Below are 22,040 nucleotides of genomic sequence, written 5' to 3'. Positions count from 1 at the left end.
GCCAGGTGTGGTAGCGCATGTCGGTGGTCCCAGCAACTGGAGAGGCTGAGATGGGAGGATCCCATGAGCCGGGGAGGTGAAGGCTGCAGTGAGCTGAGATTACAACACTGCACTCCAGCCTGGGTAACAGAGTGAGACCTTGCCTAAAAAAAATAAATAAATAAAATAAAAAAGAAGAGTTGTTTAAATACAATTAAAAAGAGTCAAAAATGGGTAAAACTGGAAGTTTAAAAATGCTTCATAGAACCCTCAGGGTTCACATTTCAAGATTCTCAAAACAGATGTATTGCAGATGTGAGTCACTACAGAGAACAGTTTGAAAGTCAAACTGCTAAAAATTATATTTTTGTTGTATTTTCTAACAGAAAGAGTATTTTTATGGTCTCCTAAACTCTGTTGATTACTAAGTAGTAACCAACAAAGTTGATGTAAATGAATAAGTAATACTCGTTTAAAGCACTGCAAATTTAAATGAGAGTTTTAAAAATTAAATTATAACTGCCTTGTTCCTATTTTACTATGCAAATCCTCAGCTCTTCACCTTAGCACTGTCTGCCACTTCAGTGTGGTTATATAAAATTGCATTTGACCTGTAATATTCAACATTTTAAAATCTTAATTTAAAGCACCCTACAAGGGAAGAAAAGAGTGACAATTTTTAAAATATGTTTTCCAGGGCACTTCAGCTCCAAGTCAGATCAGTAGTTCAATCTAGCTGTTAGCCAAGGAATGAATAATTGAATTGTTTTAACGTAAGTGTTTTCCTCTTTGGGGAACCTCCATTCGGTAAAATTTATTTTTTAAAAAGAGAAATACTGAATGATCTTACTTATGTATAGAATGCAAAATAGTCGCACTCATAGAATCAGAGAGTGGGATGGTGGTTGCCAGGAGCAGTAGGGGGGAGAAATGGGAGAAAGTTGGTCAAAGGATACAAAGAGTAATGTATGCAAGATTAATAATTGCTGGGCCGGGCGCGGTGGCTCACGCCTGTAATCCCAGCACTTTGGGAGGCCGAGGCGGGCGGATCACGAGGTCAGGAGATCGAGACCATCCCGGCTAAAACGGTGAAACCCCGTCTCTACTAAAAATACAAAAAATTAGCCGGGCGTGGTGGCGCGCGCCTGTAGTCCCAGCTACTCGGGAGGCTGAGGCAGGAGAATGGCGTGAACCCGGGAGGCGGAGCTTGCAGTGAGCCGAGATCACGCCGCTGCACTCCACCCTGGGCGACAGAGCGAGACTCCGTCTCAAAAAAAAAAAAAAAAAAAAAAAAAAAAAAAAAAGATTAATAATTGCTGGAGATCTAATGTACAGTTTAGGAATGACTGTTTAAAAATACTATATTGTTATGTGTGAAATTTTCCAAGAGGATAGATCTTAAATTTCATCTCCTCACCCCCCACACAAAGATGGTAATTATGTTGAGGTGATAGGTATGTTAATGAACTGGAATATAGTAATCATTCCACAATATACCCTATGAAAACATCAAGTTCTTCTTCTTCCGTATAGGCAGTTTTGTTCATCAATGATGTCTCAATAAAACTGTTCTAAAAAAATCATCTCCCAAATTGCAGGAAGTCATTTGTTTGAAGAACATCTAAAAAAAAATATTGTGGCTGGGTGTGGTGGCTCACGCGTGTAATCCCAGCACTCTGGGAGGCCAAGGCGGGCGGATTACTTAAGGTCAGGAGTTCGTGACCAGCCTGGCCAATATGGTGAAACCCCATCTCTACTAAAAATACAAAAAAAAAAAAAAAAAAAAAAAATTGAGCCAAGCATGGTGGCGTACGCCTGTAGTCCCAACTACTTGGGAGGCTGAGGCAAGAGAATTGCTTGAACTCAGGAAGCAGAGGTTGCACTGAGATGAGATCACGCCATTGCACTCCAGCCTGGGCGACAGAGCGAGACTCCTCAAAAACAAAGAAACAAACAAAAAAAAAACAGTGCAGTTTCTTCAGTTCAGATCAGCACGGAGCTCATAGACAAACCAGAGTGTACTAAACACAACGTGCTGGAGTGTAACTTCTGTATCTGGGAAACCCTTTGTACAGCAAATTGGTTGCCCAGTGTTGAAGAAATGACTCTGGTATAACACATTTTAAAAAATCACCCCCACTAAAGCACGCCGGAGGAGTTCAACCTGAGTTTCCAGATCACTCTTTATATTTCATGGCTTCCAGCCCCATCCACGAGGCAGCCTGGACAATTCCATCCACTGCTTTTTAGGGACCAGGTCCTAGGGAGACAGGGATGCTCTCCTGAGACTGAAATCCCACCCTCAGAGCCTTCTGATCTTTCTGAATTCAGGAGAGTTTCCTCAGGAGGCGGGTTAGGGAAGCATTGTCTTCGCCCTCTCCCTCCAGTGTTTCCTAACCTTGACCCATGTTTGACTTAACCTCAAAGGGTCCACCCATCCCTATATCCAGCCTCACACGGGACTTAGAACATGACTCTCTCCAAGGGTGGGACCCAGCCAGCGGGGGAAGCTCACCAGGAGATTCCAACGTGCAACCAAGTTGAGAGTCAGTCTATGTTCGTGCTTCTCCCACTTTAACCCACATGTGAAACACCTGGGGTTGTTATTCAACTGCAGCTACTGATTGAGCAGGTGGGGGTGGGGCTGTGCCTGAGGGTCTGTGTTTCTCAGAAGCTATGGGTCTGCGGGTGACACTCTGGGCACCCAGTCCTCTTTGCTCAAGTAAATGAAACACGATGATTGAAATGTAAAGAAATTGGCCTGAGGTGAAAAGGAAAACTCAAAACACCAGTAAGACGTGTCATAGTTCAGAGAATTTTATTCATATGGAAAGAAATTAACCAAACAGAATTTTACAATGACATTTAATAACAAAAGTTCCAAGGCTAGTAGAATACATCCTTATAAGTGAAATTCGTTTAAAAACTTCAAGTTACTCTATTGTTTACTTGTGGTATGATAATAATAATAGTAAAATATATTTTACCATGTGCCATTCATGACGTGCTTTGCATAACTTATTGAATCCACTGAATAACTCCAACATTGAGAATATTGGTACCTCAACTTTACACATGCGCTAGCTGAGATGCCCTCTCTACCACAGTGGAAATCAGAGTCTAGGTAGCTTCATAAAATAAATGGAGTATTTCCCTTGTTTTATATCCTGGAAAAATGTAGAGGGTATGAAGAACAGTTTATTACATATTTGAATGGACTGATAAAAAAAACTATAGGGTATGAAAAACAGTTTCTTAAATATTTGAATTCACTGATTTTTAAAAAAATTCTTGCAAGGCAAAAAAATATTTCCCATTTTCCAAGGCTAATCGTTTCTCACTACAACTCTCCTTCACAGTCAAATATTCTTGACTCAGGAGACACTGACGTTTTCCACTACCATTGAAGGGCCCTTTGCCCAGAATTACTCAAATTTCAGTGGTTTGCTCCCTCCCTCAGATGAGTTTCAGAGCTTTCTATTGACACTAGTGGAGCATTGTTTGCTTATGTTGACTCAGTTTCTCATATAATTATATGTAATTGAAAAAGAAATCTATAGGATACTTTCAACAGCCCCATTTTAATACAGGTTAAATTTATACAATGTAAATAGGCAGGTTCGTTGATCCCCGATAGTATCTGGGGTCCACGTTTGAACAGACACCGCTGCCAGGGAAGGGCTGACCCCGTACAGGGCTGCTTCCTGCCTCTCCCCTTCTCAGCCTTTCAGCCACTTCCAAGTCGCATGGGCTTGAAGCTGGGTCTTCTTGCCTTGGGGGCCTCAGTCACTGTCACTGTCCTCAGAGGAGGAAGTGACCAGAAGGTCCTCATAGAGGACACTCGTTGAGACCTGGGGACCCTGCCCCTCAGGCTGCCTTGAGAAGCGAGGGCTCTGAGCAGAAGCAGAGTTTTCAGGAGGACGGGATGTGGGAGGCATTCTGAACCTGGGGCTCTTCTGTCCCTTGTCCCCTCTCATGAAGGTGACACTGCCGGGCCTCCCTGGAACATGAATGGGTGGTCCAGGCTGGAGGACGGGGCAGCCCTGGGCTGGGCCCAGGAAAGGTGAGCTGGGTGCGGGCTGGAGGTTGACTCTGGGCTGCAGGGTTGCTGTCTTGGTGGCTGCTGTCTCTGCGGTCGCCTTGGGTGCCTCTTTGGATCCAAGTCCAGTTGCAGTGCGGGGAGGCTGGAGTGTCTGCACAGCGCCCACATCCGGGAGCTGAGTTCTCAGTGCAGGGGTCTGGAAGGAGCTGAATCTTGCTTTCTTTGCGGGGTTCTGGAAAGTCTGGGTGGGGACGGGGGCAGGCTCCTTGTCTGGTGCCTGGGTTCTGGAGTCCTGGCCACACTGTTTTCTGACTTGCTGTGGTCTGGGCTTTGCATCTGCGTCGGGATGTTTGATTTCTGCCTGGGATTTAAGGCCAGGACCCAGGGCAAGCGCCTGCATGGCAGGCTGGAGAGCACCATGGGAGGACATGTCAGGCCTGTTGGCTGGCAGCCTGGCACTGAGAGTGGGGGTCTGGTGGGAGCTCTTCAGAACAGGGAGCAGGGAGGCAGTAACGTCCCTGCCATGTCCTTTGGTGGGTCCACAGGTGCTCAGTTGAGGTGAATCGTTGTGACCCGAAGGGCAGAGTAATCTCATCTCGGGTTTGTTGACAGGCGGTGGACCTGTGGACACAGGGCCCAGGACAGATCTCTTCTTGGTGGTGTGGACAGGCAGTGGCATGGTAGGATGCTACGGGAGAAAACATCCCACATGAGACAGCTCAGCAGTAGAATTTCCAAACTCTGAAGCAGGGAACTCACATGCAAAACCACATCACAACAGACACTGTGTGAAGATGAGAAGCAAGCTAGGACAGAGGAAAATGGACAGGCTGACATGAGAAACAGAGAATAACAGGCACTGGGACTGCGTCTAAATCAGGATCAAATATAGGGAAGACCCTCCAAAAGAGACAGGACGTAGGAAATTAAACGTCACAGAAAAGGATGTACACATGGTCACTGAATATATGCAGAATTGTCACTTCAGGAATAGTGTTGGGGAAAGATAGCCAACCATTCTGTTTGCTGCGACTATCACATATGAAAATTAAAACTCTTTATGTTCTCTATTGTTAATATCAAGGGAATATCAATTCCCCACACAATGTGGAGACTGGAAATGGCACAGCTCCTTTTGAAAGCAGATGTAAGATCATGTACAAAAATGAAGGAGACGCCTTATCTGCAGCCAGTATCCCGAAGGCATCTGATCAGTCACTCCCCACGGGCACTGAAATGCGCCCAGCAGCATTTGCTGGCCAACTTGCAAATAAAGGTACAGAAACCAACTTTCAAATAAAGAACCTGAGGCCGGGCGCGGTGGCTCACGCCTGTAATCCCAGCACTTTGGAAGGCCGAGGCAGGTGGATCACGAGGTCAGGAGATCGAGACCATCCTGGCTAACACGGTGAAACCCCGTCTCTACCAAAAATACAAAAAATTAGCCGAGCGTGGTGGCGGGCACCTGTAGTCCCAGCTACTCAGGAGGCTGAGGCAGGAGAATGGCATGAACCCGGGAGGCGGAGCTTGCAGTGAGCCGAGATCGCACCACTGCACTCCAGCCTGGGTGACAGAGCGAGACTCCGTCTCAAAAAAAAAAAGAGAAGAAGAAAAAGAAGCTGGAAACTGGAGTATGGGAAGTCCTCGGGTAGCGCAGTTCTCCTGCAGGGCAGCCTAGGTCTTAACATGACCCCCATCCATGAGGGGCACAGAGTGAAGGAATCAGGGGACCTAGAGGAGAAACAGAGCAGGGGCCGGGGGAATACGCACCCTCAGGAACAAACAATCTTCTGCTGGCTCCTTCCAGGCTTCCTGCATTTTCTCTTGGGGAGTTCTGGGAAATGTCTGCGTCGGAGCTTCGCTCTGCTGCTGCTGGGGACTGCAGAAGAAATCACGTTCACTGTCTGGACCCGCCTGATCCTCCAACTCACACCAGTGACTGGGAACCAAGCACCCTCCCGGAACCCAGCCCTAGCCCTTGCTTTGGGTGAGGGAGGCGTTCAGGCCTCTGTGAACTTTGCCAAGACAGCCCCTTCTCTCATCTCAGAAGCAGCCCCACTTCCAGGAAGCTCCGCCCCCCACCCCCACCATGGCCCCAGGTTCTCTAAGTTCATTCAGGCCCTGGAACTGCTCTGCCTGCCTCGGGTAACATCCCCAGGTCTCCCACAGCCCCTGCCCTCTAGAGACTCTCAGCGCTGGAATAAGCTCGGAGTGCGGACCCTGGAAGGCAGGGGCCTCCATCCACCTCCATTTGGAGCTTTCCTTGTGTGCTTAGAGAAGGCTGCACAGAAAGACTAGGGGAGACACCAGCTCCTGAGGCGCCGACCTCACGGATCTTCCTTGACCCTGCAAAATCCTTACCTTGGACTTCGCTCCTTTTCTCTGTCATTCGTCGTAAAGGGCCCTGGAGTCGTAAAGGGTAGCTGGGCCTTTGCTGGTTTCAGGTTCTCCTTCTCCTTGTGTGAGCCCAGGGCCTGCAGAGGAAGGGCCCCACTCCACCTCTTAATGGGGCAGGTCTTGCTCCTGGCTGAGTGCCCAAAGGCCCCGCAGTTCTTGCATTTCACCTGCAGGTGGAGGAGGACACAGAGCAGTGAGTCAACAGCAATCACAGGCACCTGCAAGGTTCACACAAGGCCTGGGTTTTGGAGATGGATTATTTTAGGAGGGGGACATACGCCCATGGGCTGTTGGTTGCCAGGAAATTCAAGATATTATCGTCCTCCCCAGAGCCCGTTTAACAGGGATCCCAGGAGGAAGGACGCTTGTGTCTGAGAGTGAAGATAATGAACCGGTGTTGAGGACTCGGCAAACACCAGGCTGGACATGACACTGGACAGAGAATGAGGCTGCTCCTCAGAGACTCCGAATGGGCCAATCTGCCAAGACAGGAGGCTGACCGATGTGGTCAGACTGAGACCAGTGGGAACTCTTAAGTCATAATCACGAGTCCCATGTTCAAGCCCACTCTCTGGTGTCCATAGGTTACCAACATTTTCAAGCCCCCACTGACCCTGGATTCCTCCTGCTCTGCTGGGAGAGTCGTCTGCCCCATGGGTCTCCTCTGCTGCTCCTGTGGGTTTTTGGCTCTGGGGGGCCTCTGAGCCTGATGATGGACGGAATGACGGGCCATCTGTGGCAGGTCCTTGAACTTCCGATCATTCTTCTTCATTAAATGATGGTTGGATTTCCTAGTCATAAGAAAAAGAGAAAACATTACACAGACACCAGACGGAAGTCCCTCCTACCCCTATTTACCCAAGTAGGGATGGAGGGATGCACTGGCCACTGAGTCACGCCCACTGTAACTTGGTCCTCTCTGAACCCAGGTCCCAGTTGTGCTATTTTGTGACTCTCTCCCAGCCTGACCTACTCCCAGAACAGGACACAGATTTTATAAACCAAAGGCTGCTTGATTTCTAGAGGGCGAAGTGAGATTTGCAGCCTTGCATAAAAGTTTTCTGGGCTCTCGGTTTGTGTGCAGTCAGTGCCTCAGAGCTGAAACCCTCTGACAATACTTGTCAAAGCCAAGAGATGAACAGCCAACAACTATTGATATTTTTCCAGCTAGTTCCAGAAAACCCACTATTTTCATAGAATAGCTTCTCACTCAGAAAACCAACCAGAAGCTCAAAGCTTTGCAAAGTTTTCATATTCAACCTATGGACACTCGTGACGTTTCACGTGAGACCCCTGTGACCACACGCCACTCTTCACACAGAGGCAGGCACAAAGCCAAGCGAGGACCAGCCCTCTGAGGATCCTGCGATGCTGACACATATGTGCGTGTTCACGCCAGGCTTCGCACACATCACTGGCCGTGTCATGGGGGGACACGCAAGACGGAAGCCTCCAGGCGTGTTCAGCAGAAACCTTGAGCCCACAACAGGAATACAACAGGAAAACAGTGCTTGGGGAGTCCCCCAGGCTGTCCCTAGCTTATTCCCTAATACTTGTCTTACCACTTCTCTTGGTATCCACGTCTCTGTGAAATTGTGGTGGGCCAGTCCACTGAAGGTTGGCATTTTTTATTTGAGACATAGCGGGCGGTCGGATCCTCTCCTGGCTTCAGAGGAAATCGCAGAAGAACCTCCACAGAGGCGAGAACAACCCATTTCTCTGTCATCAAGTCAATCTAATGCAGAGAAAGGAGAATGGAGACGCAACCTGAGTTCTGCAGGCAGGAGGAAGCCTTGGCAGAGGAGAGGAGGAACTCCCATCTTCCTGAGATTTTAAAGGGAATGCTGGGCAGGCTCACATTTTGGTGTTTTGGTTTTTTTTTTCTTTTCTTTTTTTTAAAGAAGTCATTATGTGAAAAAGATACTTGTACACGCGTGTTTACAGCAGCACAATTCGCAATTGCAAAAATATGGAACCAGCCCAAATGCCCATCAATCAACCGGTGGATAAAGGAACTGTTATATATATACACACACACGATGGAATACTACTCAGCCATAAAAAGGAAGAAATTAATGGCCTTCACAGCAACCTGGATGGGATTGGAGACTATTATTCTCTGTGAATAAGTCACGAATGCAAAACCAAACACCTTATGTTCTCACTCATGTGTGGGAGCTAAGCTATGAGGATGCAAAGGCAATCTCACAGTTCTTTACTCCAGAGCTGGTGAGGAGTTGGCTGATGACCTTCAAATGGCGCCAAGAGTGAAAGCCCAGGGTATTGGGAAGTGCTGCTGTTCCCAGGTGGGAACTAAGGGGCAGTGGTGGTGTCATTTTCCCATGTCCCTTTGAGGAATTACATATCGATTTTAATGGGTCAGTGCCCGTGTATGGAGGGTGTGAAACTCTGAATATGAGCCGGTCATGGACGGGGAGCCTGCTTCAGCCTTCCCCCTCGACTTGGACTCCACCCATTCCACCTGCCTCCCAGGTGACCCCGCAGCTCCTGTACTCACATCTCTTTGTGGGATCCCGCACTGCTTTAAGAACTGCTTCCCCTGTTCCATGGAGAGAGTGTTGGGGTCCATCACTGCTGGTCCTGCCCGAGGGATTCTCTTTCCCTGTGGAGGGTAGAAAATGAGACGCTGATTCCTTCCTATCCCTGGACTCTCCCAGGCACAGGATGCAGTCAGCCCCATCTCTCTGCTGTGCCCACCGTGTCCCTAGGAGTAAACTCACACATCCTGTCATTCAAACTACACGGACGCATCCTTCCTCTGCCAGTGACATGACACCAATGTGAATGAGAAAAGCAGGTGATCCATTAAAAGAATTGTTCACTGGACTTAGCGTGTTTGATATGTATGCAATGCAGGTCCCTCCTCTAGAGACCCTCATAGTATACCATCAAACATCTGGAAAAATTGATCGTGGAATTGGCCTCAAAGAAAATTTAATATATTAGAAAACTGGATATCTTATCAATCTGTAGTCCCTGTTTGTCAAAATTAGATATACCTACATTTTATAAATTGTAAGAATGTTTTAAACTATGAAGCACAGTCTCTGAAATTTCTGCAATCAAAGTCCTTAAGTTCAAACAAGATATTCAAGTGGAAATCAGAAAGTGCAAAGAAAATACAGGTAAAGCCCTTTCATGTCCAAACTGATGAGCAAAGCAAAACCTGGGTTCAGGGGAAATGTCTTTGTCTAAATGACCACAGTGCTAGGGAAACAGGAACATAGGAGAGTGAGGGCAACACCATTTAGAAATCAACTCCTTCTTGAAACTAGCAAGGCACAGTCCTGGCCAGTCACCACCCTGGTTCTAAGATGTCTGTGGCTGAGGAAGCAGCTTAGCAATGCTTGCAAGACAGACTCCTATGAAAGCAAAATGTCCAGATGCCCAATATCCAAAGCAATAGATGCCTTCAACATAATGATAGCTATGCTTTCCTAAGCTACACACTGGAATGTCAAGGAGAGTTTTCTTTAAATCAACAGGATACTAAACATTGTCATGCTATCAGCCCACCGCATGTAGACACAGCTTAGTTAAATCTTCACATGGAAAAGACTCTATATCAGAACAACTTAAAAGGAAAAAAAAAGACGGTGCATTTTCCGGTCACATTCTGAGGTCGCCCTACTGTGTAATGCAGTAGCTTTCAGTAAACTCTCTCTTCTCACTGTTCTCTGCAACTCGCCTGGAATTCCTTCCTGTGTGAGAACAAAGAACCCTCTCCTGGGGTCTCAGTCGGGCATCTTTTTTTTGCCACAACATGATTGAAAAAAGATAAAATTTAGGGGAAGTGCTCAGGTCCATGGAGACAGCTTAGAGACAGAAAAACATGAGATTGCAAAAATGAAAAGATGGAAATGGCAAATCAAACAATAAGTTGGAGCAGATGAAAAAATAAATAGAATACAACAGGAAAACGTGTTCTTTATTTGAAAGCAGTAGTAGGATACATTACCATGGGTGCCCATAGAAAGATAATAAAATTTATCTGCATAGATCATATTAGGAAAAAGAGAAGACAATACCGCCATGAAAATAAAAAAAAAAAAAGATCAGGGAATGCTACATTGGGGACAAACACATTCGAAAATCTAGAATAAAGTGTGCTTTCCTCTTCAAAATCCAAATCGCCAAAATTGAGAGGTAAAGAAACATTTTTAACTACGTATTTAAGTAGAACCATTCTTTATACCACCATTATAGATTGGGTGCTCACAGCCTAAGTCTTGCTTGGCTTAATCTAGGTATAGAGGCTCAGGGCCCTGAATTTTTACCAGCTCCTAGCAAACGTCAATGAGTATACCGATACAAAAGATAAGTGAAGAAATCTCTTATTTAAAAGCCCTCCGTCAAAGGCACCAGGTCTCCATAACTGCTCATCCAGCACCCACACAATTCAGGGTGCTGGGTGAGCATTCCTTGCAAACGTTGATCTTTATATGATCATTAAAATTTTGTTTTTAATTTTTTTCGTTTTGTTTTTTGTTTTTCTTCTTTTTGTTTTTCTTAATATATATTTTTTCGATCATTACAATTTCTGAAACGTTTTTTGAGTCAGGCTCTGTCTTAAGAAACACTATTAAGCAATTAAGTAATCTTTACCTCGACATCTAAAACCACCCACTACAGAGTTTTCTCACTCTTCTATTTCTCCTGTGGGAATAAACCAAGTCCCAAAATTGTAATGTACCAACCTGTTGTCTTCCTTCCCTCTAGCAGTCGCTCAGGTAAGTGGACCCTCTGCAGACTCTACTCCTCACAGTGGGGCTTCTGCGATGAAGACAGCAAAGAACACTGAGGGGAAGATCCATTCTCCTGCTGGCATTTATACTGCCCCAGAGCCCCACAGTCACTCCCCCTGGCTAACCTAATCATGATGCAATCACATCTGATCTAATCACCTCTCCCTCTTTCTCCATTTCTTAGTTATTCTGTTGCTAGCACTTTCATTTTATCACACATGTGTACATCTGAAACAAATAATATAATTTGCTGTTTGCCCGTCCCATAATTTGTTTAACTTAACCTAGAACTATATATTTTGAACAACATACACTATTTTCTGCATGTTTAAAATGTTCATACATAAGCCCAGGCTGTTTCATTCTGTATCTCGAAAGGGGATGAGCAGCTCAGTCTCCCATGGCAGGGAGCTCAGTGGAAACCAGGACTGGAGATTCTGGCCCTTGTGGGACCAAGGATGAGTGAGGTCTAAGAACAGTCTGGCTCACTGTGAGTCCAGGAATGGACTAGAGTATGCAGTGTGGCTATGGGGGATGGGTCACCCAAACTCTCCATGTATCCATGGAATTTTTAAAAGCCCATGTCAGATGGGGAGAACTGCAAGAAGCCAACTCTCAGTTCCAGGGACAGCTCCTGGAAAGAGTCAGTGGCTCTGATGGGAACAGGAAGGCAGGCACAGCTCCAGGGTGTGGACAGGAGCTCAGCAACTCACCAGGATTTAAAGATCCTGAGGTCTGGGCAGCATTTGGGAATTAGGGCTGGAGTGAAGACTTGCCTCTCTGCAGAGACGAGATGGGAGTTGATATAGTTTGGATGTGTGTCCCCGCCCAAATCTCCTATTGAAATGTCATCCCCAGTGTTTGACCTGGGGCCTGGTGGGAGATGATTGGATTGTGGGGGCGGTTTTCTCATGAATGGTTTAGCCTCCTCCCCTGTGGTTGTGTCCTTTCCAGAGTAAGTGAGTTCTCATGAGATCTGGTCATTTAACAGTGTCCAGCACCTGCCTCCACACTCTCTTGTCCCTGCTTTTGCCATGTGAAATGCCTAATCCCTCTTTGCCTTCCACCATGAGTAAAAGCTTCCTGAGGCCTCCCTAGAGAAAGATGCTGCAATATTTCCCGTACAGCCTGCAGAACCATGAGCATGTTCATTCTCTTTTCTTTAATATGACCGAGCCTCATGTATTTCTTTACAGCAATGCAAGGAAGGACCTGATAAAGGAGTGTTCCCAAGAATTCTCACAGAGATATCAGGGTGTGGGGTCTGTCTGGCCTATTCAGGTGGGTTTGTCACCCACAGGCTTCCTGAACCTCTCCTGTGACAAAGGACAGAGGCAGAGGTTGCCCTTTCTCCATTTCAAGTTCCTTCTGCCCGTGGGTGCAGTGGTGGTGTGGGGAAGAGAAAACGAAGTTAAAAAGGCATATTTTCAAAATTCACGTGGGATTTCCCAAGATAATCTCATCTGAGGAAGAAGCTCTGGGAATAAGGAAGAGCAAGAGAAGGATTAGGAGATAGGAAAGGCATGTTCTCAGGTAAATGTCCTGTCCTGGGTCAATTGCTGTGTTCTCTCTCTGAAAACATCATGGTTTTGTTTTGTTTTGCCATCAATAAGAAATTCACTTGCTTTCAAAAAATCCAAATGCTCATATTGTCCAGAAAACTGAAACAGGTTAAATTACCATTTTTATGAAGCAGAACTGCTAAAACTTCTTCCCTGAAACATCTTTGCTTGCATTAATCCTTTGACCTCCACTGCATTTATCTTAAAAATTCATGCACAGTGAGAAAGGAGGAATAATTTTTTAAGATCTATGGCACCGGATGATGACTGTAGTTCATAATAATGCATACTGTAAATATACACAATTACTAAGAGAGTGAATTTCAAATGTTCTTGCCAAAAAAGTGATAGCTATGTCAATAATGGGTATAAAACTGATTGACTTCATCATTCCACAACATATACATATATCAAAGCATCACAATGTACTCCGTAAATATGTACAGTTGTTATTTGTCAATTAAGTTTATGTTTTAAAAAGTCGCATACCCTTTTAAAACAAAAAACTACCTGTAGCTGACTTCTGTACCCAATTCTTCCACCCTCAAGCATGTACTATGTACCTTTCGACCCCACGCAAAAATAAAATCTTAGGTTGAGTACTTTCGATGATGGAAAAAATAGTTTTTTTCTTAGAAAACGATGTTTCTAATCATACTGCATTCTTTTTATTGCATATGTGTAATAGATTCAAAAAGTTTTGGGGTGCCTACTGTTTATATTTAATTAATTTATTTTTAAATTGACAAACAGTAATAGTGCATATTCACGCATTCTTTTCAATGATAAAATATTATTGATTTCTTTACCCACTTCTTCCTCCCACAATCATATACTACAGACTGTCTGACCCCATGCAAAAATAAAATCTCACGTTCAGCATTATCAATTACAGGATAAAAGTATTGTTTTTTCAGCCACCTACACTCCCTGCAGCATTTCACAGCAGGAGACAGACAAGCACATGCGACTCTGTACAGGGGTAAACAGGAGCGATTCAGTGACATGCTTCATGCATACGTGCCAGGAAATAGGATGCGGTGTTTCCGAGAAGGAGGTATAGAAACATCTTCCACACTCATCACTGACTGGGTGAAGCAACACGAACAGTGACTCCAACATGAACATATATTTATATGAATTTTGAAGGAAGACAAAATGCCTTATAATGTATATGTGTATGTATATATACAAATAGACCTATCTATGTATATGTCCATCTATGCAAACATATATGTGTGTCTACATATTTATCTATATTTGTATCTATGTCTATCTCTATAGATCTATGTCTCTGTAACTCTACATTTAGATATAGATATGAAGATATAGATCTATATCTGTCTATATATAAGATCTTCATACATGTATCTCTCTCTCTATATATAGAGAGAGATGTATTTATAGAGCTATCAATATATAAAGGAGGATACATCTCAAACTGGTAACAATTGTTATGCCTGGGATCAGCCTTGTATCTTTGCTGCGGTATTTATAGCTCATTTTATTTAACTGTTTAAACATTTTGTCATTAAATTGGATCCTGTACTTATCAGTTTCCCATGACTCCACCATTACACAAATTCAGCGCCTTACAACAGCACCCATTTATTTTTTCCCCGTAGGTCAGAAGCCCACAGTGCTTGGCTGTGTCCTCCGCTCAGGGTCTCACAAGGTCTGAATCCCGGGGTCAGCTGCCTGGGCTTTTCTCTGCAAGCTTGGGAGAGAATCTGCTTCCACAGGGGAGAATCTCTGCTTCTACGATCATTTAGGTGGCTGACAAATCCCCTTTTCTTCTCATGATTTCCACCTGCCTATCGTCTTCAGAGCCAGCAACAGCCTGTGAAATCCCCCTCTTCCCTCCAAGCCATGACTTCCTCTTTGGCGGTGTCTCTAACTTCTTTGTCTGCTTTAAGAGCTCAGCTGATTACATTAGACTCGCCTAGATCATCCAGGATAATCTCCCGGGTTCATTTCAGCTGATTGTTAATTATACCACAAAGTCTCTTTTGCCTACGTGGAACTTAACATAACCACACGATAACACCAGGGGTTGGAGAACCAGCCAATGCATTTTTTGATGATAAAATATTATTGAAAAAATATTCTCAATGTATCAACAAAATGATTACCACTCTTCACCTCTTGTGATGGTTTCCAGTGACAGAAAAGCAAAAGGAAAGAGTGCTCAAATGTTGAATTCTGTATTTTATTTTCTTAATATGCTATATTTTAATGGCATATTACTATATGCTATTAATATGCATGTGCCATATTTTGGAAATACCACAATAAATAAAAGAAGCTCATACTTTTGAATTTGGGACACAAAATAAACTCAAGACATCCACAGAAGCAGGAAGGGGCCTTCTGACACCTCCTTCTATCACTGAGCACCAGGTGCCAGGAAACAGCCTCTCCTGCCGGACCCACTGCAGTCACATTCTGTACCTGGTGTCCTGAAGGAGAAGAGAAAATGCTGTGGCATGTTGCACATCCCAGATGCTCCCTGTGGCCCTCTACTGCATGTTAACTTTTAAGCATTCTTGGGGGTGTTTTACAGAATCATAATTTGCTCTTCACGAACTGGAACTAGAGTCTATCCATGACTCAGTTGTGAGTCCACTGTAAATGAGAGAGATGATGAATGGAGAATGAATTAGTGACCTCCAATCTTCCCCAGTGCCTTCCACGACCCCAACCTCCATGTAGTTCCTCCCTCCTCCTTCATCTCCCCTGTGGCCTCCCTCTCACCACCATTATGACCCTTAGTCACCACCCGGGCCTCCACATCAATCCACTCCCCCATCCTCCTGACAGCTTTAGACTTCTACGTTGGACCCCACCGCTATCTCATGCCCTTCTTGGCCTCCATGCCTCCAGCACCTCTGTATCATCCATTGTGGGGAAGTCAGGCAAGCCCTCCCCACCTCCCACTGCCCCCACACTCTCCACCTTCCATGTCCTCCTTCTCCTAAGCCCTAAATCAATCCACATTCCAATGATCTCAGCCCATATTCCATAATCTCCATGCCCTTCTCCTTCAAATGTCCCAGCAATCAACCTCCCGATGTCCTCAGCTTCCCCAGCCCTCCAACCCTTCTCCCAGAACTCTCTAGTCCCTGCCCTCTTCCCCCAAACCCATTGGCTGCTCATTCCCATGACCCTTCCAGTTCCTCTCATCACCCTGCTCTCATTTTCCTCCCAGGCCTACGACATATACGTAGTTCCTTCCACCATTCCCATCCCCGTCTCCACTTTGGGTCACTGACCACTCCCAGGACCTGTGCACCCCACCTGTTACTTCCCTTCCCCTCATTTTCTTTAACCTTCCATTGACATCAAGTCGCCGGTGTCTTGAACCCTGTCCTGCTGTTTACCCACTTTCCCTCATTATCTCTACCTCCCCATCGTCTCCTTTCATTCCATGACTCTGGCACCCCTTGTCCTCACAGCACCTAGTATCCCCCATATGCTTAGCTCCTTGCACGCTTTTCCCCTGTGCACCCTTAAAACCTACGGCATCTTCCACTGTCTGGAAATTAACCTCCTTGTCCCTTTTAAGCCTCTGTGCTCTGTCTCCTGTTCACCGTCAATCTACATTTACAGGTGCTCTGCCTCAATAGCGTCCTTTCCATGAGCCCCCAGATTTACCCTATGTCACAAACCTGTGCAATGTCACACTCTGTCACACACCCACGCAATATCAGACCCTCTGTCACACACCCATGCAATATCGACCCCAGTACTCCAACTTTTCTACTTAATGCCTTGGACCAAATTAGCAACGTGCACATCATTTTATACATTGCACATGGTGACGTCATCATCATGAGTGGTGCAAAGTGAGAAGAAGTATAAAGGCTGAATCACAATAGAGGCATGACCGCCGCTATTCTCCAGATAGGAACCTGGTATCAAGATACAAATGCGTGTGCTGACTCTGCGAGTGTGGTGTTTAAAGGTCAGTGGGACTGTGTGAGTCTGTGTGAGTGCTGGGCATAGTGAGTGTATTTGAATATGAGTGTGGGTTTGTGATAGGTGTGTGGGTGGGTGTGAGCCTGTGGTGGAATATGTATGTGAGGGCGAGTGTCTAGCTGTGTATATGTATGTGATGTTCCTTTGATTTGTGCTGCTGTGCACGTATGCATGTGTTTGCACCTGTGTGTGTACATCTATGTGTGAATATACGTCTTTGTGTACGGTAGGGGTTGTTCACCTTATGGCTCTAATCCCTGACATGGAAACTGAGATGCATTGAATGGAGGGCCTGAATAACATTTGTTTGTAGGAAAACCCAAAAGATTAACTTGAATTCACATTTTATATTTCTTAATTTATTACAAGAGCAATCAGTGATCATTACTGAACATTCAGAAACACACACACACATACAAATGTAGAGGACTGTGGCAACCATCCAATGCTCTTGAATCTAGTAAGCAGTATTTGCTTCCCAGGATTGATCAAAGCGTGACTTTTTAGCCACCTGATCCACATCATCTAGATTCCAAATTAATTGGCATTGAGCCGTTGGCATCCTGTTTGTCCTTTTACTTGTATCCCTTTGAAAATCCTTCTCAGGCACTCTGTCTGGGTTCACTTCTCTGCACATAATCTAATGATGCTGCAGCTGAGTGGCATGAAGATTAGGAAAGAGCTCGCTTTGGGGCAGAACCTCCCAGCAAAGCAGAGTATCCGGGGACACTCGTCCCTCACTGTGAGTGTGCCACAGGTCAGAACTCAGCGTTTCCTGCTCCCTCCATGTAAGACTGTGTCTCTCCAGGGAATGGAGACGAAAGAGCCTCTCCCAAACACTCCTCATAGTCTCTGAAGAGATGCTGGCCAGAAACTTGTCATTGCTTTTGGTGATTAGCAATTGGGAAGAAAAGTTGTTCTGAAACGTTCTCAGCTCCCCAAGGCTGCACTGTCGTTGCCACTGCAGGTGAAAAGATAATTGCAGTTCTGAGGGGAGGTGAGGTCACAGAACCACAAACCCATATCTCAGGGTCTGGCTGCTTCCCTCCCACATGATCCTGGCTGTGGCAACCTTCGCACTGAGCCCACCGTCCTAGCAGCAAGATGGAGCTGGGGAGAAAGTTTCTGTTTCAGTCTGTAGGGAAGGGTGCCTCCCAGGAGCCAGGGTAAGTTATCCTATTATAATAAGAAATTGTTCTAGATTGAAAACTAGTCCCTCTCCCTCTCCCTCTCCCTCTCCCTCTCCCTCTCCCTCTCCCTCTCCCTCTCCCTCTCCCTCTCCCCATGGTCTCCCTCTCCCCACGGTCTCCCTCTCCCTCTCTTTCCACGGTCTCCCTCTGATGCCGAGCCGAAGCTGGACTGTACTGCTGCCATCTCGGCTCACTGCAACCTCCCTGCCTGATTCTCCTGCCTCAGCCTGCCGAGTGCCTGCAATTGCAGGTGCGCGCCGCCACGCCTGACTGGTTTTCATATTTTTTTGGTGGAGACGGGGTTTCGCTGTGATGGCCAGGCTGGTCTCCAGCTCCTAGCCGCGAGTGATCCGCCAGCCTCGGCCTCCCGAGGTGCCGGGATTGCAGACGGAGTCGCGTTCACTCAGTGCTCAATGGTGCCCAGGCTGGAGTGCAGTGGCGTGATCTCGGCTCGCTACAACCTCCACCTCCCAGCCGCCTGCCTTGGCCTCCCAAAGAGCCGAGATTGCAGCCTCTGCCCGGCCGCCACCCCGTCTGGGAAGTGAGGAGCGTCTCTGCCTGGCCGCCCATCGTCTGGGATGTGAGGAGCCCCTCTGCCTGGCTGCCCAGTCTGGGAAGTGAGGAGCGTGTCTTCCCGGCCGCCATCACATCTAGGAAGTGAGGAGCGTCTCTGCCCGGCCGCCCATCGTCTGGGATGTGGGGAGCGTCTCTGCCCCGCCGCCCCATCTGGGAAGTGAGGAGCGCCTCTGCCCGGCCGCCCCGTCTGAGAAGAGAGGAGCCCCTCCGCCCGGCAGCCACCCCGTCCAGAAGGTGAGGGGCGCCTCTGCCCGGCCGCCCCTACTGGGAAGTGAGGAGCCCCTCTGCCCGGCCACCACCCCGTCTGGGAGGTGTGCCCAACAGCTCATTGAGAACGGGCCAGGATGACAATGGCGGTTTTGTGGAATAGAAAGGGGGGAAGCGTGGGGGAAAAGATTGAGAAATCGGATGGTTGCCGTGTCTGTGTAGAAAGAGGTAGACATGGGAGACTTTTCATTTTGTTCTGTACTAAGAAAAATTCTTCTGCCTTGGGATCCTGTTGATCTGTGACCTTACCCCCAACCCTGTGCTCTCTGAAACATGTGCTGTGTCCACTCAGGGTTAAATGGATTAAGGGCGGTGCAAGGTGTGCTTTGTTAAACAGATGCTTGAAGGCAGCATGCTCCTTAAGAGTCATCACCACTCCCTAATCTCAAGTACCCAGGGACACAAACACTGCGGAAGGCCGCAGGGTCCTCTGCCTAGGAAAACCAGAGACCTTTGTTCACTTGTTTATCTGCTGACCTTCCCTCCACCATTGTCCTATGACCCTGCCAAATCCCCCTCTGCGAGAAACACCCAAGAATGATCAATAAAAAAAAAAAAAAAAGAAAACTAGTCTAACCCCCAAGTCACCAAGAAAAGAGGAATGGTTGTGAGCCATGAGCTGAGCTACTAAAGAGAAATGGGGTCCTAGCCCCACACCAATCCTTGGGCGGTCCTGATGTGATTTAGGAGAATCCACACTGACCCGCACTGTTGGTTTTTCACCAAATAACAGTGAAACCTGACTATGTTCTTAAGGACTAACATTCTTAAATCAATCTGTCGTAATAATGAAAGCTGGTTGCATTCTTAAGGACTGTGGTACTAAAATCAATCTGCTGTTCCGCCTACCCAACAGGAATTATACACTAAAATTTCAGGATTGCTGAGGAAATGACTATAATATCACCATACTTGTAATGAATAGATTGACTCTACAGGAGTCATGTAATTCCTTACACAAACAGTGTATCTAATTAGTAGTTGCTGGAACGAAAATGTTTTCTCTAATTCTGAGAGTGTGCAGGGCTTAATGGGAGCATTAATTGTGTCTCTACTGAAAACTGCCATAGTCTGTTGATTATGGTGAGACTGTCTTTCCTCTTGATGTTAAGGAGGCAGCATTTAAGGAAAAGGTAACTTTATAATAATGAGCTAAAGAGAGCAGCTATCAGACTCAAATGTGTCCTCTGATGTGTTCTCTGCTTCAGATAGATTCTAACATCACCCAAACTCTCTAATTTCCGTTTACAAAGTATATATAATATACACCCACTAGAGTTTCCAATTTTCACGTTTGTCACATTTTAATTTAGTTATGCAAATATTGTCCTAAGGATAATAATTTATTTAACTCAGTTATTAATAGATCTAGATATGTCATCTAACATTTGTAAGAATTTGGTTATTACCTTACACTATTTTATCCCATATTGTTGTTTCATGTCCTATTGTTTTGGGTAAGACATGATTGTGGTAGGTGCCTTTATGCCTTTGTCCGTGGCACAAAAGCAAATGCTCACAATGTTTTTTACTCTCTTTCCATTCTAATATTGATCCATGCTTGCAGTCATTAAATCCAACTTGTCATGGTGCAGGTTTCTATAGTATCAAACTGTAATCCCTGCATCTACATTTTTTAAGATCTCTAAACCTTTATTTATTTGGATATTGACAAATAGAATACATTTTTACACATAATGTAAAATCATTACAACATACAGTAACCTACTACAAGACTGAAATATAATGACAAGGAATAAAAACAAAGGGGTGTGTGTGTGTATGTGTGTGTGTGTGTGTGTGTGTGTGTGTGTGTGTGTGTGTGTCTTATTCAAAGAACACAGCTATCTAGCTTTGTTAGTCAACTATAACGGCTAAATGCACTGTCTTTGCAATAAAACCAGGCAGGTTCAAGTTCGCATTTTGCCTGTAAGTAGGGTGGAAATGTTGCCAGCCACTTCACCTCTCTGTGTGTATGTCCTTCTCATATTTACAATGAAAGTAATAGTAATGCCTGCCTCATAGGTTTGTGAATAAAGAAGTTGCCGCACGTATGATCTGCACAGCAGTGATTCCCACATGGGAAGTGCTCTTTAAAGGTTACGCATTCAACTCTCAAAAGCCTCTTAAGAGAAGAGTGACTTTAAGTATTTCTAAGGGCAGAGCAATGGGAGGTGGAGAATGCTGGGTTGCAGGTGACACTATAAACGTAGCTCATGCCTCCTATTTCCATGCAGGACCTCCCAGCCCTGAAGACAAACATCAGTGACAGACATCAGTGGCAGAATGGCCTCCCGGTATGTGGCAGTGGGAATGATCTTATCACAGACCGTGGTGGGAGTCCTGGGGAGCTTCTCTGTTCTTCTCCATTATCTCTCCTTTTACTGCACTGGGTGCAGGTTAAGGTCCACAGATTTGATTGTTAAGCACCTGATTGTAGCCAACTTCTTAGCTCTCCGCTGTAAAGGAGTCCCCCAGACAATGGCAGCTTTTGGGGTTAGATATTTTCTCAATGCTCTTGGGTGCAAACTTGTTTTCTATCTCCATAGAGTGGGCAGGGGAGTGTCCATTGGCACCACCTGCCTCTTGAGTGTCTTCCAGGTGATCACGGTCAGCTCCAGGAAATCCAGGTGGGCAAAACTTAAAGAGAAAGCCCCCAAGCATGTTGGCTTTTCTGTTCTCCTGTGCTGGATCGTGTGCATGTTGGTAAACATCATCTTTCCCATGTATGTGACTGGCAAATGGAACTACACAAACATCACAGTGAACGAGGATTTGGGATACTGTTCTGGGGGAGGCAACAACAAAATCGCACAGACACTGCGTGCAATGTTGTTATCATTCCCTGATGTGTTGTGTCTGGGGCTCATGCTCTGGGTCAGCAGCTCCATGGTTTGCATACTGCACAGGCACAAGCAGCGGGTCCAGCACATTGATAGGAGCAATCTCTCCCCCAGAGCCTCCCCAGAGAACAGAGCTACGCAGAGCATCCTCATCCTGGTGAGCACCTTTGTGTCTTCTTACACTCTCTCCTGCCTTTTCCAAGTTTGTATGGCTCTTTTGGATAATCCCAATAGTTTACTGGTGAACACTTCAGCCTTAATGAGTGTATGTTTCCCAACTCTCAGCCCCTTTGTTCTCATGAGCTGTGACCCCAGTGTATACAGGTTTTGTTTTGCCTGGAAAAGATGACAAGATCTCCTAACCTCATCATAAACATGTACATTGTATATATTTGCTCATGGTTCAATTGATGACTTACTCTTCTGTGCCGCAATGTAAT

The 22,040-nt window shown here is 45.8% G+C and overlaps 1 protein-coding gene and 1 pseudogene across 2 annotated transcripts, besides 1 other annotated feature; one reads left to right on the top strand and one right to left on the bottom strand.

Moving 5' to 3' along the window:
- Nucleotides 1–4,359: 4,359 nt before the first annotated feature.
- On the bottom strand, nt 4,360–6,419 carry FAM90A27P (family with sequence similarity 90 member A27, pseudogene; annotated as a pseudogene). Its single transcript, NR_046365.1, has 3 exons — nt 6,383–6,419; nt 5,792–5,900; nt 4,360–4,709 (listed from the first exon to the last, which is right to left on the bottom strand). The product of NR_046365.1 is annotated as a family with sequence similarity 90 member A27, pseudogene (transcript).
- Nucleotides 18,672–19,334: an enhancer, noted in NCBI's record as "NANOG-H3K27ac hESC enhancer chr19:53772628-53773290 (GRCh37/hg19 assembly coordinates)". NCBI's record gives its function as "activates a minimal SCP1, AML or CMV promoter by ChIP-STARR-seq in primed H9 embryonic stem cells {active_cell/tissue: H9 hESC(primed)}" and the evidence as "EXISTENCE:reporter gene assay evidence [ECO:0000049][PMID:30033119]".
- On the top strand, nt 20,986–22,033 carry VN1R4 (vomeronasal 1 receptor 4). Its single transcript, NM_173857.3, has one exon. The coding sequence runs from the start codon at nt 21,044–21,046 to the stop codon at nt 21,947–21,949; it is 906 nt and encodes a 301-aa protein (NP_776256.2). The 5' UTR covers nt 20,986–21,043; the 3' UTR covers nt 21,950–22,033.
- The last annotated feature ends 7 nt before the right edge of the window (nt 22,034–22,040 follow it).

The sequence above is a fragment of the Homo sapiens genome, chromosome 19, assembly GCF_000001405.40.
Source record: "Homo sapiens chromosome 19, GRCh38.p14 Primary Assembly".
Lineage (NCBI taxonomy): Eukaryota > Metazoa > Chordata > Mammalia > Primates > Hominidae > Homo > Homo sapiens.
Note: the sequence above shows the minus strand (reverse complement) of the source record. Positions and strands in the feature narration are given on the sequence as shown.